At 36.0% G+C, this 17,175-nt stretch overlaps 1 protein-coding gene across 4 annotated transcripts in view; it reads left to right on the top strand.

Annotated features, from left to right (window-relative positions):
• The window catches only part of PRSS12 (serine protease 12), a 72,966-nt gene that overhangs the window by 13,715 nt on the left and 42,076 nt on the right, over positions 1-17,175 (top strand). For all 4 annotated transcript variants that reach the window (NM_001440549.1, NM_003619.4, NM_001440550.1 and 1 more), the window contains exons 2-4: positions 975-1,113; positions 3,638-3,816; positions 7,423-7,573. In NM_001440549.1, coding sequence (NP_001427478.1) covers positions 975-1,113; positions 3,638-3,816; positions 7,423-7,573 — 469 coding nt within the window. The remainder of the gene's footprint in view (positions 1-974; positions 1,114-3,637; positions 3,817-7,422; positions 7,574-17,175) is intronic.

Below are 17,175 nucleotides of genomic sequence, written 5' to 3'. Positions count from 1 at the left end.
GTGAAAGGCCATTGTAGGTGATTTTAAACAGAATTTTATGCAATTCTTAAGTTGTCTGAGGTTAATTCTGTCTCTGCTCAGTTGTCCCACTTGCTACCTCCCAGTGCCTGCTCTGGAACCAGTCCCAATGAGAAGAGGAATGTAGGTCTTTGAACCACACTTAAGGAATAAGACCAAAGTGTTATCTTTCCTAAGGGTGCTTGAATTTAAATCTTGGCTCTTTTAAAGACTGAAAGGAATGACTTAAATTGTGGACTTTGGGACAGCTCTTTGGGTGTGGTATATTAGAGGAGGTGAGTTTCCAGGGGCATTCAATTATACATACTACCTAGTGGCTATTTTTCCAAGACTAGCATTAGGCAGTATTTTCAAAATGAAGATTATGGACATAATCTTCAGAATTTTAATGACTACTACTGAAAGTTAAAAGGGGAAAACACATTTTATTTTTCCTTAGTGGATGAACAAATCAAATGGAAGATATAACACAGCTAATTACAGCTAATTCATATGCAGAACATTTAATTTTGTTTCTGTGTTTCTTATTGATGACCTCATGAGAAGAGGAAGGTAATAAATGATAAAAACTTCATATGTGATGTAATCTATTATTTGAGATACAAGATCTGATATTAGTCATTCTTCCACTTTTTCCCCCTTTGAAAATTACAGTGGTTGCTTCTTGATGAGGAGATATTGGAATAAAGAAAAAAATTATAATAGGACTGTCTGTTTGCCTAGATAAAAAAGAAAATATAATTAGCATTGACGTCAGGATGTTAATTACAAAAAAGAAGGAGCTTGCTAAATCCTCACTTAAAGGAAGAAACACATGCCACACACAGTGGAGGCTAAATCATTCTGCCTGGATCCCTTACTACTTAAGTTTAAAAATCATGTTAACCCAGGACTGGCTCAATATGTTCAAATGATTATTTACTATTAAAGGGTTTTGGGATTCTTTTCCACTTTAGGATCAGTACGACTTCGTGGCGGCAAAAATGAGTTTGAAGGCACAGTGGAAGTATATGCAAGTGGAGTTTGGGGCACTGTCTGTAGCAGCCACTGGGATGATTCTGATGCATCAGTCATTTGTCACCAGCTGCAGCTGGGGTGAGTGTACCCATCCCTGACCAAATCAGTCAGCTAGTATTTGAGAATAATGCTGGGTGCCCGTCATTGCTTTGTAAAGCTTGTATCTTTGTTTCTTACTGTCACTTTCCTCATTCTCACTTTTCACAAAAGAGCTATAAAGAAAGGGCCCCAAATGGAAGAAATGAATTCTCTCACATGCAAATGTACTTCACATATTACTATCTGGGCTGAACTAGGAAAATGGGCAAATACTAAGTGGGCAAATTTAAAAGCATCTTTTGGTCTTTGTCTTTAACAAAATACAGAGGCCTTTGAAGCAAGTTATGCCTTTACAAATTCTAAGAATTTGATTCTAAAAATTATAATTTCTTAGAATTATAATGAATTAATTATAATTATTCTAATTATTAATTATAATTAATTAATTAGCACAGCCTTAACTTGTTGTTGTCATTTGATTTTACCTTTCTACTTTTATCCACCCACAAGTTCCATTTGTGTGTGAAAGGGGCAATGTTTACCTGTGCCCTTGTCCTTGATGGGGAAGTGGTGATGTCCCAGGCCTTAGGTTTTGGTGCTGAGGAGGTCTTGTGGAAGATGGCAGCTTCTGTTAGCTCTGGCAGTGTCCTGCTGTCCTGAGGAGCTGTCAGCCTGGGAACTGGCTCCACTGTAACCCTAGGCACTGTCTTTACGACAAGTCAGTGTATTTTGAATTCATCAGTCCCAGCATCTTTATTCCTTGTGCCATAGAGTTTCACCAGGAGCAGAAGGCTTCTTTTTGGGACAACAGGTTTTATTTTTGTTTTTCTTATTCTTTTGTTTTTGTGTCTCCTTTATATTTTCTAAGCGCACTTAACATATGTTTTTTCTTGGCCTTTATCACCAGAGGTCTTTAGAAAGCATGGAAATATTTTGTTATTAAAAAAATACAGTCTAAAAGACTGAAAAAGAGGTTTGCAGTTTGCAAGTATTTTGCATTAATAATCAGAGTGGTAATATGATGACACAAAATGAAGAAGTAGAACTTTAATTTACCAGATTTCTCTTGTCTTACCACTAGGAAGCTGAGGAATGAGTATTGAATAAAAGCAAAGCTTGAAGGCCTAAATTTTGCTTAGATTTTTGATGCTGTTAGAGCAATAAATAGGGTTATTATAGTAAATTAAAATTAATTATTTTGATGAGTTGATATAAATCAGGATGAACGAAGGAGTAAGGCCAGAGCCTATAAAGTGTTATGGTGCTTGGAAATGTTAATTACTGATTTTATCATGAATACTTAGTCTGGCAAACAGACAATTGGCAAGTGGGCAGGTCACAAAGAATGATGATTTCATGCTTTTTCCTTTGAGGGGCAAGAGATGTAATAAATTTGTAGGCTGATGTCAATGTCTTCCTTTATATACATACCTATTTGTGCTTTTATTACCCCGGAAAATCAGAAAGGAATAAAATTTTCTGTGAGATACAAAGAAACAAGAACGCTATAGTGGAGGTGTGAACTACTGTGTGGTTTATTAGTCTTTTGATTGATGAAAGTATGTAAACTATTATTCTGCAAACAAACTTCAGATAAGCTGATCCAGCTGCTTATATAGTATCATCTCTCAGTAGTCCATTTAAAAAAAAAAGGAATTGCACGATAAAATCAGAGAAACCCAGCTTTATTGCTGTGAAGACACATTTACATTTTAGATATACCCCAAATATTTACAGTTTGGTTGATGGAATGCTGCAGCATGGAGACAGTTGTAGAGATTACCATGTTAATCAGATAAGCATTTCACCTTTTTTAAAATTTAATGCCAGTTTGTACACAGCAGAGGTTACTTACAAAAATATGTGGATTAGATGAGCTAAAAGCAGAACCCGTCTGTATGCTATTATTTTCATTTTTTCTTTTAAAAATACTCTCCTGGTGTTAGGAAAGAGATGCATGTTGCTATGTTATTAATTGGTTTCAAAGGCTTGCTAGCAAATACTATATACAGTGTAAGGTTTTAAAAATTATAAATGGATTGCCTCCCGTGATATTATTGTGCTTAGATGTAGTAATAATAATTTTGAAAATGCTAGCCTAGAATGTTAGAGTCAGAAAGAATCTTCAAGCATCCAGATTTTTCTTTTGACACATTAGAAGACAAAGCCTTCGAGTTACTTGCAGCTTGGCATGACTTTTAGCTGAGCCCAGACTGGAGTCCAAGCCTCACTGAAGCTCGTGACACACCTCTTGCACACAGCCTTACTTTTTATGTCTGCAGTACTTGGCCATTTTCTTCTAAATCAGTCATTGGTGGTAAAGGCACATAAAGTAGTTATTTAAGATTGATGAAAAGAATTCCATAAGTAGGCAAACCACGTTGTGATCTGATGTTTTGATTTCCTTGAAACTGATGTAGTCTTTTGTGTTTTTCTTCTTTCTTTCTTTGTTTCTTCCATATTCATCTTTGTTGATTTCTTCCATTTTTTTTCAAATCCAAATGTTTTGATAAAAAGTTTTGCCTACATTTGATAAACCTAATATCGCTCATTGTACTTCCAGAGGAAAAGGAATAGCAAAACAAACCCCGTTTTCTGGACTGGGCCTTATTCCCATTTATTGGAGCAATGTCCGTTGCCGAGGAGATGAAGAAAATATACTGCTTTGTGAAAAAGACATCTGGCAGGGTGGGGTGTGTCCTCAGAAGATGGCAGCTGCTGTCACGTGTAGCTTTTCCCATGGTAAAAAAAAGAAAAAAGTTCTGTTGTTTTACTTTCATTATGTTTTAAACGTGATTCCAGATGATGAAAGTGTCTTAGTTATAATCATTTCCTTAAAGACTTTAATTACAGAAATAAGTCTGAGTCAAAATATTTTACCATCTAATTAGTCTTCAATATGAGTACTGTTAATTTGAATTCCATTTGATTTTCCAGTGGTATCTCATTTTTAACATATTTTCTATTTTATATAATTTGCTTAAATAAATATGTATATTCTATAGGTTATATATATACTGTATAATATATTGTATATGAAACACATATTTTAGTCATGGAAAATTATGATGGAATCAAGCTGGAAAATAATCATGAAAGTAAATATAGAATACAGCAAATACAACAAAATATTTTCACTTTGTGTAATGCAATATAATTATGGCATCAGTGTTCTTGGGGCTGTAGAGAGCACCTTCCCTAAAAATGGATTGTTGGCTTGAATGAGGGCTTCTTCCAAGTTCCATAGAGTAGGTATGTGGTAATTATCAGTATGGGTTCAGTGTACAGATATGTTTATATTCATGGAAGTAGAGGAAGGAACAACTGCCTTTAAGATGGTGAAAGAGTTTTCTGGGTACCATGGTGTATTTTAATGAATGATCACAACCTGAAGCCACCATACTCTCATGGTATCCCTTTTTGCATTTTCCTTGGTGATAGCAGCATGACCAGATATCCCAGGACTTGGAATGGTAGCAGTCAGCCCAGGGCAGTGGTTTTTGTTTGAGTACAAGTATCAGGGGGAAGAATAAGGAAGCTCCTACCACAAAACAGAGAGACCCATTTTGGAGTAATTCCTCTGGATTGGCTGGAAGAGCCAATGGAGGGATATAGTCCAGGTGTATACTCTGAGAGCTATAATCCTTTTTTTTTTGACTGGGAGAGGCATATGTTAAACCTTGATGTCTTGTAAGTTTTCCCTTTTCTTCTTTTGGTTCTCTACCTTTGGGTAATGCTACTTTTGCTAAATCCAATGCTGCTTCAAGGATGATGTGAACTGGGCCCAATAATTTATTGCTGTTTGTAGATTATTGGTTTTACTCTATGCTCAACCTGATTGATAAAATGTTTTTCAAGTAGTAAAGTAAAAAATTTTAAAAATAATTATAATTTTTTTTCAGGATATCTATCTACATTTTTTACTCCTTCCACCTTCTATAATCTATTCATCTGTTTATATTCTGGTTGCAAAGATAATTTTATGGTCATCTATAAACATATATAAAATATAGAAAGTTATGATAAATTAGAAGTGAGAATTTAAAAAGATTCTCTCGTGGTAGATTAAATGAGAATGTGGAGTTGTATAGCTGAAATCAGCGAACATTGAGTTCACCTTAAGGGATAGTGATAGATCTTTAGTATACTTCCCTTAAATTTGGGAATTACACTTAGTGTCTTGTCATTCTGTACTTGTAGCTTTTCCAACATTTCAAAGTAGAAGATTGCATGCAACTTGGATACAAAAAATAGCAGCAATCTAAATGAAAACGTGGGGAGTTTAATTATCTATAAGCTAAATATGAGTCCATTGATTTACTGAATTTTCTTTCAAATGAGTTTTGTGTTTGTTGGAAGGATGGGGCTGTTAACTAAATCTTGTCCTTGTGCTTTTCTGTATTTTTTATATTTTAACAGTCATCCAAAAAGAAAAAGAAACCACATTTTAAAATAAAACACAACATAGGAAAGTGAAAGGTGGTTATGCCATAAACTGTCTAGGTCCTAGATGGTTTTCAACTTTCTCTTAAAAATTTTTGTTTTTCTGTTTTCTCCAAGCTTAACAGGTGGGGAAAAATATATTAAGAAATGTATACATGTTTTTCTGTATTTTGTAAGCTTTTTAAAGGAAAAATAAACATCATAATTTGTGAGAATTATATTACCATCATTCAGCCATATATATTAAACCTGTCTTTATCCATTAACAAATTGTAAGTGCTAGTTAACTTATGCAAGTAAACAGTATATGCAGATAGTCACTAATCTAAATTTCTGCTACAAAACTCAAATATGAGTGCTTACTTTGGCAGCACGTGTACAAAACTCAAATATGATATTTGAATTTAAGTGTGAATATCCAAATGCCGTTTACTGACTGCTACAACTGTGGAAAATTAGAAACATATTTCATACAGATAAATGATTAGTATTTGGCAAAAAGTACAACTAGACTTCATATTAGAGGACCAACCTGTTAATTTTTACCATATTACGTCCTTTATTCTAGTAAAATTAGACTGCTTTACTCTTTGCCAGACACATTCAGCTTTGTGCTTCTTTCTTTTGTTCATAATGTTCAAGTGGCCTGAACATGCTTCCCTCATCTCTGACTTCCAAATCCCATCTATCTTGGCCCTCTTAAAAAAACAGCTTTTTCACAAGTGATTCCCTAAGTACCCCCAACCATGAGTAAGGTCCTTTGCTTCTGAACCACTGTAGGGTTTTTTGATAATCTCTTGTCTGTACTCCTTTTATCGACGCCCTTAGGCAGTAAACTTCCTGAGGGCCGGGTCTGTCTGGTGTCTCTTCGAATGCCCTGCAGCACTGATCATAACACCTTGTACAAGGCATATGTCTGATATCTGTTTGTTAATCAGAAATTAATGAATAGATGTTGCCAATTATTTTTTCTTGTTTGGAGTGTCTTTTCTAGGTTTATTTAGCATTGCTTGTCAGTTGAGGCAGTCAATAAATAATTATTATATGCCTCTGTATACTAGGTACCTGAAATACATAGGTGTAAAGGAACACAGTATTTCTGTCCTCATTCTAGCCAAGAGGAGTGAGACAATTGACATGTAAACAGTAAATCAGTGACAATTTTAGATAAAAGTAAATACTCTCAGGAAGACAAAATTAGGCAATGTAATAGGAAGTCCCTTAGTGTGCTGTCTTATCCAGGGCAGAGAAGAGACAGAGAAGTTCACAGTCTGACAAGGGCTAGATCAGGGCTGTAGATTATGAGACGGTAGTCACATTTGATGGTCCTTATCAGCGAAAACGGATATGAGCTGATTCATGCCCAAATGAAGTTTCAATATTGTTCTGTTGAGGTACTGGCCATGATGTCCAGCAACTTGTTTTAACGAATTAGATATTAACTTTGACTTGATTTCTACAAATGCATAGATAATTCTATACTGAAAACAAGTATGTTATAGACATAAGTGTCATTCTTAATAATGACATATTGGTAATGCTCAAGTTACTGTAAATAAAAAAAAATCAATGCCACCACCATAATACTATACAAATCAAACACATTTCCAGTAATGCGCAGCTTTTGAGTGTGCCTTTTCTAGTTTCTGAGGTTGTTGGGGAAAAGTGAATTTAAACACATTTCCTCCTAAGAGTTACTTGTATTCATATAATTCAATTTGGGATATTTTAATTGGCCAAGATTACCATAATATATTAGATATATATACGTATGTCCATATCACTGGTGTGGCTTTATAAATATTATTTAATTATTGAGAATGGCAAAAAATATAGAATATACCTAATCTTATCAATCAATGTAAATGCATAGGTTTTGCTTATTTTTAACTTCACATTGCACAGGCCCAACGTTCCCCATCATTCGCCTTGCTGGAGGCAGCAGTGTGCATGAAGGCCGGGTGGAGCTCTACCATGCTGGCCAGTGGGGAACCGTTTGTGATGACCAATGGGATGATGCCGATGCAGAAGTGATCTGCAGGCAGCTGGGCCTCAGGTTTGTTTTTACTACTCTTGTTTTGCTTAAACTTTTGAATCTTATTATTTCCATACCCAAAGGCAGGTGCTGTTTGTTTAAATTGCACATTTCCTTGAACAAATGGGACAAGTTACCTTTTGATCTTTGTAGTAGGGCTGTAGGCTTCCTGAAGAGCAGTTAACGTGTACTCTGTAGGTTTAACCTGCTTGTGTCTGAATTAGGCTGATTTTATGTCACTAAGAATCTAAGCTTTTATTACTTCTCATTGGTAGTCTTTACGTTACTCCCAGGTAGTAACCAGCACTGTAAACTATAGTGACTTAATCAAATTCCATATGATGAAAAACTGGTTGTTAGCTTGTAACTCAAATTTAACTTCTAGTCATGAAATGTTGTCTAAACTTTTGAACTGCACTTCCTTGTTAGGTATGTGCTTAGAACAAAGGATATTTATTAATGTACAAAGGAGATAATTCCCCTGTAGGGTTGGAAAGGAAGCCTATGTCATGAAAACAGCAGTCTGAAAATCAACATTCCAGGTTGCCTCAGTTGGGATTATTCTGGAGTATTATAATTTTAGGCCTTCTAATCCCTCTGTTTAGTGATTCTGAACATTGGTATAACAAGCCTGAAAGTTTCTCTAAAATTATATTGGGGGATCTTTTAAAAGTTAATCATTTTCTTCAGATTTTAAAAAATATTTCATTTAGTTAATCATTTACTACAGAATTTAAAAATATTTCATTTAGCACTGAGGGGGCCAATGATGGGAGGCCTGTTCTTCCCTGTTCATTGTGTTCAGTTAACCATAATCCTTGACTGGAGCATGATTGTTGAACCTTGAACAATTTTTACAGTTCAATTTTTTTGTAATTTTTAAAAATAATTGGCTCTCTTTCAAAATTCTATGTTATATTTGAAGTATTTTAAAGTAAAATATAGACACTTTAACACTTTGTCTATAAACACTTCAGCATGCATCTCTTACAAATAAGAACATTGTTCTATGTAGCCAAATTATCATTATCACAACTAATTATTGGTAATCATTTTTAATATTGTCTAATACTTCATCTTATTCAAATTTTCAGAGTTGCCCCTACAGTGTCCTTGGCAGATGGCTTGTCTGAAGCAGAATTTAGTCCAAGACCAATCTGGATATTATGTTCCTTAAGTGTCTTTTACTCTAGAAAGGCCTGGGTTTTTTGTTGTTGCTGTTTTTTTTTGGTTTGGTTTGGTTTTTCCATAATGCTGATTTGTTGAAGAGCCAAGGCCAGTTGTTTTGGAGACTGTCCCATCTTCTGAATTTGTCTTATTTTTTTCCTTCTGGTGTCATTTAGTTTACTCTTCTGGTTCTTGTAATTCATAAAATTAGAGTTTAGGTTTAAAGGCTTGATTAGATCAAAGCAAACATTTTGTCTGGAAATCATCACAGGTAATGTATTCTCATCTTGCATTTCACCAGGAGTCATGAAAAGCTCTAGTTTTCCCCACAAATGAAGCTGAAATTGAGCACTGGTTTAAGTGACATCAGCCTGATCCTTTACTGTAAAGTTAGATTTCCCCCTGAAACTGACTATGGGACCTAAATGCTAATTTATAGTTCACATGTGGGACAAGAACAAACACAGCAGATCCTGTGTCAACAGGTTTTGCTGTGATTACTGGCATTGTTTACGATGGTATGATCATTTTCTTTGGGTTGGTTAGGAATATGGCATCTTGGTTTCTTTTGAAAAAACTAACAAGTACGTTTATGAGACAAGATTTTTTAAAAGTGTTTTGACTGGGTATCAATTTCACGAGCAATTTTCTCAAAGTTTCCCGGTGCCTGCTGTTGGAGTCAGCATAGCATATGATTATGGGCGTGTGTTCTGGATGCTGAAAAACCTGCATTTAAATCCCATTTTTGGAGTTGCGAAAAGCTACAGAATATCTCTTAGTTGCAGTTTTCTCATCTATAACGTATTTCTTAATTTATAGGGTTTTGTGTCTACAAGCAGTTAGCACACATAGTAAGTACCATATACATTGGCTATCAAGGGCACTCTAATTAGGTAGTTATATTTTAAAGATGTTGTTAAACATCTTTATTGTTTACATTCAAAGTAACCAGCATTTGGTAATGACAGAGCACCAAACACTATTCCTCCATCTGGAACTTCTATTTAGTTAGCTGTATCTATGAACTTCTATATTTTTAATACACTCTAATGTGTACATATATGTATTCACTGGGTTATCAGTTATGTGTTCAGTGACGTGCTAATTGATTTTCATGTGAGTTACTAAGAAACCTATGTCTTTGCCAAAAATATTAAGAACTTTTAGGGTATAGTAATAGCATTTTTAATATTATCAGTTACAATATGGGTTATTCTAAGTTTAAGGTAAAAGGCATTTTTGATTATTAATATATTTGTGGGTAAAGGCAAGCTTTTGTTGCTTAGAAAAATCCATAGAACATTTAAGTGACACACTGAATATTAGTTACATTACAGTTACTGAAGTGATTCCAAAAATCCATGTTGTGGCCAGGTGCAGTGGCTCATGCTTTAGGAGGCCAAGGTGGGAGGATAGGTTGAAGACTAGCCTGGGCAGTATAGCCAGATCCTGTGTCTACAAAAAAATTTTTTTAAATAGGCTGGGCACGGTGGCTCACACCTGTAATCCCAGCACTTTGGGAGGCCGAGGTGGGTGGATCACGAGGTCAGGAGTTTGAGACCAGCCTGCCCAACATGGTGAAACCCCGTCTCTACAAAAAATACAAAAATTAGCTGGGTGTGGTGGTAGGCACCTGGGATCCCAGCTACTCAGGAGGCTGAGGCAGGAGAATTGCTTGAACCCAGGAGGCAGAGGTTGCAGTGAGCCACGATTGCACCACTGTACTCCAGCCTGGGCAACAGAGCAAGACTCCGTTTCAAGAAAAGGAAAAAGAAAAAATTAGCCAAGTGTGGTGGAGCACAACTGTAGTCCCGACTACTAGGAAGGCTGAAGTGGGAAAATTACTTGAGCCCAAGAGGTTGAGGCTACTATGAGCCATGATCACATCACGGTACTCCAGCCTGGATGAGACAGCAAGACTCTCTTTCTAAAATATAAAAATAGAAATTCATGCTGTAATGTAGAGTTCTTTTTTTTTTTGTTGTTGTTTTAATGTAGAGTTCTTCCTTGAGACAAATATTTTTTTCACTTAAATAGAAACAGTTTTTAAACAAAGGCCATATTGACAAGGATAATCAGTTACCTAGAAAAAATATAGAGATAGAATCACAAGGAAGGCCATATTAATGTTGAACACACTCATGGGTTAAGTAAAGTATTAACGCCTTTCTCAAACACTAGCTCATTGCTGCTTTTCCTATGAGGGGATTCTTTGGAAAAGTGATTAAAATATACAAGCAAAAATCCTCCACAAGCACTTGTAACAAATAACAATCCAGCTTTATAGAGATTTGTTTTTATTATAAGTACTCTGATGCTCTGAGCTGACATTCTTCGTTTACTTTTCTTGCACTTGATTTTATAGTTCTCTCATAAGTTTGCAATAAAGCAGTACTCTACGACTCTTCTTTCTCTATAATTTGTTTTGCTCATTTAAAGGCTAAGTACTTTCAGATGAGGATTGTTTTTTAATGGCACAGGATTGATAGCAGACACATAATTGTTGCTTGTCTCAATTTATGATTCATTCTTAAGCAAATTTCATCTCAGTTTTATCTGCCTTGTTGAATTCCCACAGGGAAACTACATCATGCTTTTCTGGAGTAGTGGTTACAGTTTATTTATGAGATGCTGTCATTGTTAACCTTCATCTTTTAATGGTGTCTGTATATTTTGGTAGCTGGCAAGCTTCCTAAATACAAAAGGAATTATTATACTTAAGATACTTAAATTTGATTAACCCAGAACATGGAGAAAGATGAGCAGCGGGAAAGGAGGCAGCCAGATGTTAGAAAATTAGATAACTTGAGAACGCATATGTACCCAGTGAAGTTTAGTTGGAGACATTTTAACTGAAGTTCCTTTTTATGTGCTTAACATTAAAAGCACTTTCCATGTCTTTCAAAAACTCTTAAAAGCATAGCTTTGTACTGTGAGATCATATTTTATTTTGTGGATGTGCCATAATTTACTTGGGAATTTAAAAATTGTGGATACTTTCTTTCCTTTTAGGGTGCTTTCATTTTTACTTTTTTGCTCTAAAATTATATAGAACCATATTATTGAGTAGTAGAATACAAATTCTTCCCATATAAATTACTCTTTAAAAATTGTTTTTTGCCAGGCATGGTGTCTCACGCCTATAATCCCAACACTTTGTGGGGCTGAAGTGGGAGGACTGCTTGAGCCCAGTAGTTCCAAACCAGCCTTGGCAACATAGTGAGACTCCCATCTCTACAAGAAAAAAAAAATTAGCTGGTTGTGGTGGCACGCACTGGTGGTCCCAGCTACTCAGAGGCTGAGGTGGGAGAATTGTTAGTCCAGGAGGTTGAAGCTACAGGGAGTTGCAGTTGCACCACTGCACTCCAGCGTGGGTGACAGAGTAAGACCCTGTTTCAAAAAAAAAAATTTTTTTTCTTTGCTCTTTTATTTTACGGTTCATTAAATTTTAAAAAACATTGTATAAACCAAGCTTGTCCAACCCACAGCCCGCAGGCCATATGCAGCCCAAGACGGCTTTGAATGTGGCCCAACACAAATTTGTAAACTTTCTTACAACATTATTTATTTATTTGTTTATTTATTTTAGATCATCAGCTATTGTTAGTGTTAGTCTATTTTATGTGTGGCCCAAGATAAGTCTTCTTCTTCCAATGTGGCCCAGGGAAGCCAAAAGATTGGACACCCCTGGTATAAACTTTACAACAAAGATAGCCTGGTATATGGAATTATTGAGCAGGAAAGATAACTTGTTTAACAGTTGAGGAAGTTAGGCCCACTGAGATTACACAATATTCCCCAAGTCTGTTAGTGGGAGGCAGAGTCTTGAGGTTTATGGCTCCCAATTTAGGATTTTTTCTGTTATGTTACATTATTTGTAAAATGGCGAGGTGTTAATAAGAATAAATACAAATATAGGGCTGAAAGAAATAAGGAAGTCAAGAGAGAAAGTTAAATTTAAGAAGAAAATGATAGTGACCGTGTTTTAGATAGACTGTATTTGAGGTGCCATCAGCCATCAATTGACAGCGTTCCAGGAGGCTGCAAGAATGCTCAGTGTTTCGGTCTGCTCTGTAGTCAGACAAACTTTACCATTTAGTAGTAGTGTAATGTTGGACAAGTTATTTAACTTTTGAGCCTCTGTTTCCTTATCAGTAAATTTGGTATAATAGCATCATTCGGTTGCAGGGAGGAAGAAATTAGTTAGTATGTCTAAAAGCACTGTTAGACCAGTGCCAGGCATGCAGGAAGCATTTGATACACATCAAACATCATTATTGGAGATGGCGGGGATTGTTTTCTAGAGAGTAATCTAGGATATTAAAAATGAGTTTTTTCATCCATGGATTACAAACTCTGTATATGGCACAAACTGATAATTGCAGTTAAAGAGCCAATCTTTTATAACCTAATAAATAATTATGTTGTACAATAGAATGGCCTAACTCTATTCTAGGTCTACCTCAAAGCAGTAGCTAATCCTGGGGATTGAGTTAATCAGATGGTGCCATTTATTTGGCCTTTTTCTGTGTATGTAAGGGGGAAACAAAAGCAAAAATTTTGTATTAATACAATTTGATTAGCTAAATTTAGATTTAAGAATGTTTTGAATAGGGATTGGAAATAGAACCAGTTCAGTAAGTGTTTATTGAGGATTGCTGTTATGTAGGTCAAATATCTTTACACAGAAAATAATTCAGGGTATTAGATCAGAGTATCTCTGCCCAAAAATTTATTTACAGATTATCAGAGGGTAAAAAACTAGACAACACTAGAGCTTTTATTACAGATGAACTGCTGGGGCTGGTATGGAAATAATTTCCATGAAGGACAGAGAACACACAGCTTTATCAAATTCACATTTACTTGAACAGTTCACGAGTTTTTGTTGATTTCCTCAGTATTGTAATTCATGACTCTTTAAAAGCAGAGTCATCAATTATTTTGGTATTCTCTTGAAAGCCAGCATAGTTCTGAGTACCAGGAAATGCTAGTGACTGGCTGAAGCAATGTGTGAATATGTAAATACTGTTTTCTTAACTTAAACTAAAAAGTTAGCCAGAAAACCTGATTTTGTGTTACATTATAGTTTCCTGGTTAATGTTTTTTGTTGTTGTTCTCAAGTTTATTCTGCTGGTTATTCTGATTAGTTTATTTTAAACATTTTTGTATCATTAAAATAATAAACATACAGAAATGGATGAGAAGAAAATAAAACACCCAGGTAGTGTTTTTTTTTTTTTTTTAATTTTCAGCTTTTCATGGGTATATTGGACCCATGTAATGAGCATAGTACCCATAGGTAGTTTTTCAACCTACGTCTCTCATCCCGCAGTAGCCTGCAGTGTCTGTTGCTCTCACATTTATGTCCATGTGTGTTCAATATTTAGCTCCCACTTATAAATGAGAACATGTGGTACTTGGTTTTCTGTTCCTGTGTTAATTCACTTAGGATTGTGGCTTCCAGCTTTGTCCATGTTGCTGCTCATCAATGGTGGATTAGATAAAGAGATATTGGCATGTGTATACCATAGGATACCATGTAGCCATGAAAAAGAATGAAACTGGGCTGGGCGTGGTGGCTCACGCCTGTAATCCTTTGGGAGGCTGAGGCGGGTGGATCACAATGTCAGGAGTTCGAGACCAGCCTGACCAACATGGTGAAACCTGTCTCTACTAAAAATTCAAAAATTAGTGGGTGTGGTGGTGGGCGCCTGTAATCCCAGCTACTCAGGAGGTTGAGGCAGGAGAATCGCTTGAACCCGGGAGGCAGAGATTGCAGTGAGCTGAGATTGTGCCACTGCACTCCAGCCTGTGCGACAGAGACTCTGTCTTCAAAAAACAAAAGCAAAAACAAAACAAAAGAATGAAACCATGTCCTTTGCACCAAGTGGTGTTTTCAGAGAGGATTTAAAAATACATAGCATCCCCAGAGTCAATGTTTGGGGCTTGTACTCTCTTATCTTGTAATCTCCTTTAAGGAACGGGCCAAGTTCAAAGGCAATTAACCAGAACTTTTGCTTTTTCCTTGAATGTGTGTCATGTAATAATTAATGTATTTGAAACACAATATACTTCAGCTCCCCTTTCTCAGCCTATCAGAGTATTCTCAGCCAAAGCATGACTTTAGGATTTGTTACTTTTTCTAGGGAATTAAAAAGCCTTCAGTTGCTTGTCTTTTTGCCTAAAAATTGTATGAAAGTTATATTAATATTTTAAATCTCCAAAAATGTGATAGGTAAGCATGCATTATTGTTTAATTTTACCACTAGTGATCTTGAGCTTCTTATCCTGTGGTCATTGGCCATGGATATTACTTCTTCTGTGCATAGTTGGATCCTCTCTATTGTCTATTTTTTTAAGTTGATTGCTTTGTCTTTTACTAAAATGTGATAATATCCTAGCACTTTGAGAGGCTGAGGTGGGCAGATTGCTTGAGTTCAGGAGTTTGAGACCAGACTGGGCAACATGGAGAAACCCTATCTTTGCAAAAATTTTAAAAATTAGCCAGGCATGGTGGCATGTGCCTGTAGTCTCAGCTACTGGGGAGGCTGAGGTGGGAGGATGGCTTGAGCCTGGGAGGCAGAGTTTGCAGTGACCCAAGATTGTCCCACTGGAATCCAGCCTTAGTGACAGAACCAGATGCTGTCTTTAAAAAATTATCTATCTATCTAGATATATATACACACACACACACATATTTATATAAGTAAACTGTAACTGAAATGTGTGTGCATGTGTGTGTGTGTATATATATATATAAAAAACAAGTTATTACTATTATTCATTTCTAGGAGTTTTTTTTTGCAAATTGCAAATGTTTCTTCCAGCCTATTGGTTTGCATTTTGACTCTGATTATGGTGTGTTCTGCTGTATGGTAGTTTTCAATTTGTATGTGGTTGAATTTAACTTTTTTGGTTTTTGTTTTCTGACTTCTGGGTTTCCTAGGAATTCTCTCTTACATCCAAGGTTATAAAAACTATGTTCCTATATTTTAGTCTAGTAACTTTTTAGTTTTCTTTTCTTTCTTCCTTCCCTCCCTCCCTCCTCCTCTCTTCCTTTTTCCTTTTGCTTCTTTCTCCCTCCCGCCTTTCTTTCTTTTCTTTTTTTTCCACCTATATTTAAGCCATCTGGATTTCATCTTTTTGTTATCACTTTGGGATCAAATTTTATATTCTTCCGTATTGGTCTCAGGTTTCCTTATAGCACCTAATCATGGCTCAATGAATTATACCCATTGAAATTTTCCTTAATAGATTTTTTTTGGTGGCATTTATCTCAGGGCAAAGATCCAAGAAGGCTGTTAATCTGCCTTTCTCTAGAGCTTTCCTATCTGGCTTCTCTGTCAGTGATCCTGTCTCCTCCTGTTTTGTCCTTCAACTCTCAGTGTTCTCTAAGTCAGTTTCCATATTTGCTTTCATTAATCTCTTTCCTCTAGAGCAGGGGTCTGCAAACTTTTTCTGTAAAGGGCCAGAGAGTAAATAGACTTTGCAACTACCCAGCTGGGCCATTGTAGCATGAAAGCAGCCATAGACAATAACTTAGGAATTCGTGTGGCATCATTCCAATAAAACTTGGTTTCTGGACAGTAAAATTTGGATCTCACTTGATTTTTCACATCACAAATTATATTCTTATTTTGATTTTTTTTTCCTGGCGTTTATAAAATTGAAAAACCACTCGGCTCACAAGCAATATAAAAACAGATAGCATACCTGATTTGGTGCACAGGTCATATTTTGCTGACCTCTCCTCTAGGGCATAGGGCTTCTTCTCTCCTATCCTGTATCTTCCCTGTAAAAAGGAACCACAGGTCTCAGGCACACAACTCCAAGCAGTTTTCTTCTTTCAACCAATATTAGTATTTTCATAAACATATTACAAATAATACATTTCAGTAACTCAGCCTCCATCCCCAAATTGTGGGAATTACAGCTTTTACATGACTTTTGAATTTTATTTTCTGTGAGTGTTAAACTGTTCCCTTGTTTAATTTATTGTAATTTTTTTTTTTTTTTTAAGATGGAGTCTCGCTGTGTCACCCAGGCAGGCTGGAGTGCAGTGGCGCAATCTCAGCTCACTGCAACCTCCACCTCCAAGGTTTGAGTGATTCTCCTGCCGCAGCCTCCCAAGTAGCAGGGATTACAGACACCACCATGCCTAGCTAATTTTTGTATTTTTAGTAGAGATAGGGTTTCACTACATTGATCAGCCTGGTCTCAAATTCCTGACCTCAGGTGATCCACCTGCCTCGGCCTCCCAAAGTGTGGGGATTACAGCTGTGAGCCACGGCGCCCAGCCTATAGTAAGTGTTTTATGAACATGTTTTCTCTGGGAGAGGATATTTTTTCTACTATAAGTAATCTTTAAAACAGTTGAATTTTTTTCATAGCCTTGTACACTACTATTGCAAGATCATTTTGATTTAAAACATATTTTTCTAGGAACATCAGTG

This window comes from Homo sapiens, chromosome 4 (assembly GCF_000001405.40).
Source record: "Homo sapiens chromosome 4, GRCh38.p14 Primary Assembly".
Taxonomy (NCBI): domain Eukaryota; kingdom Metazoa; phylum Chordata; class Mammalia; order Primates; family Hominidae; genus Homo; species Homo sapiens.
This window is presented reverse-complemented; position numbering and strand designations above follow the sequence as displayed.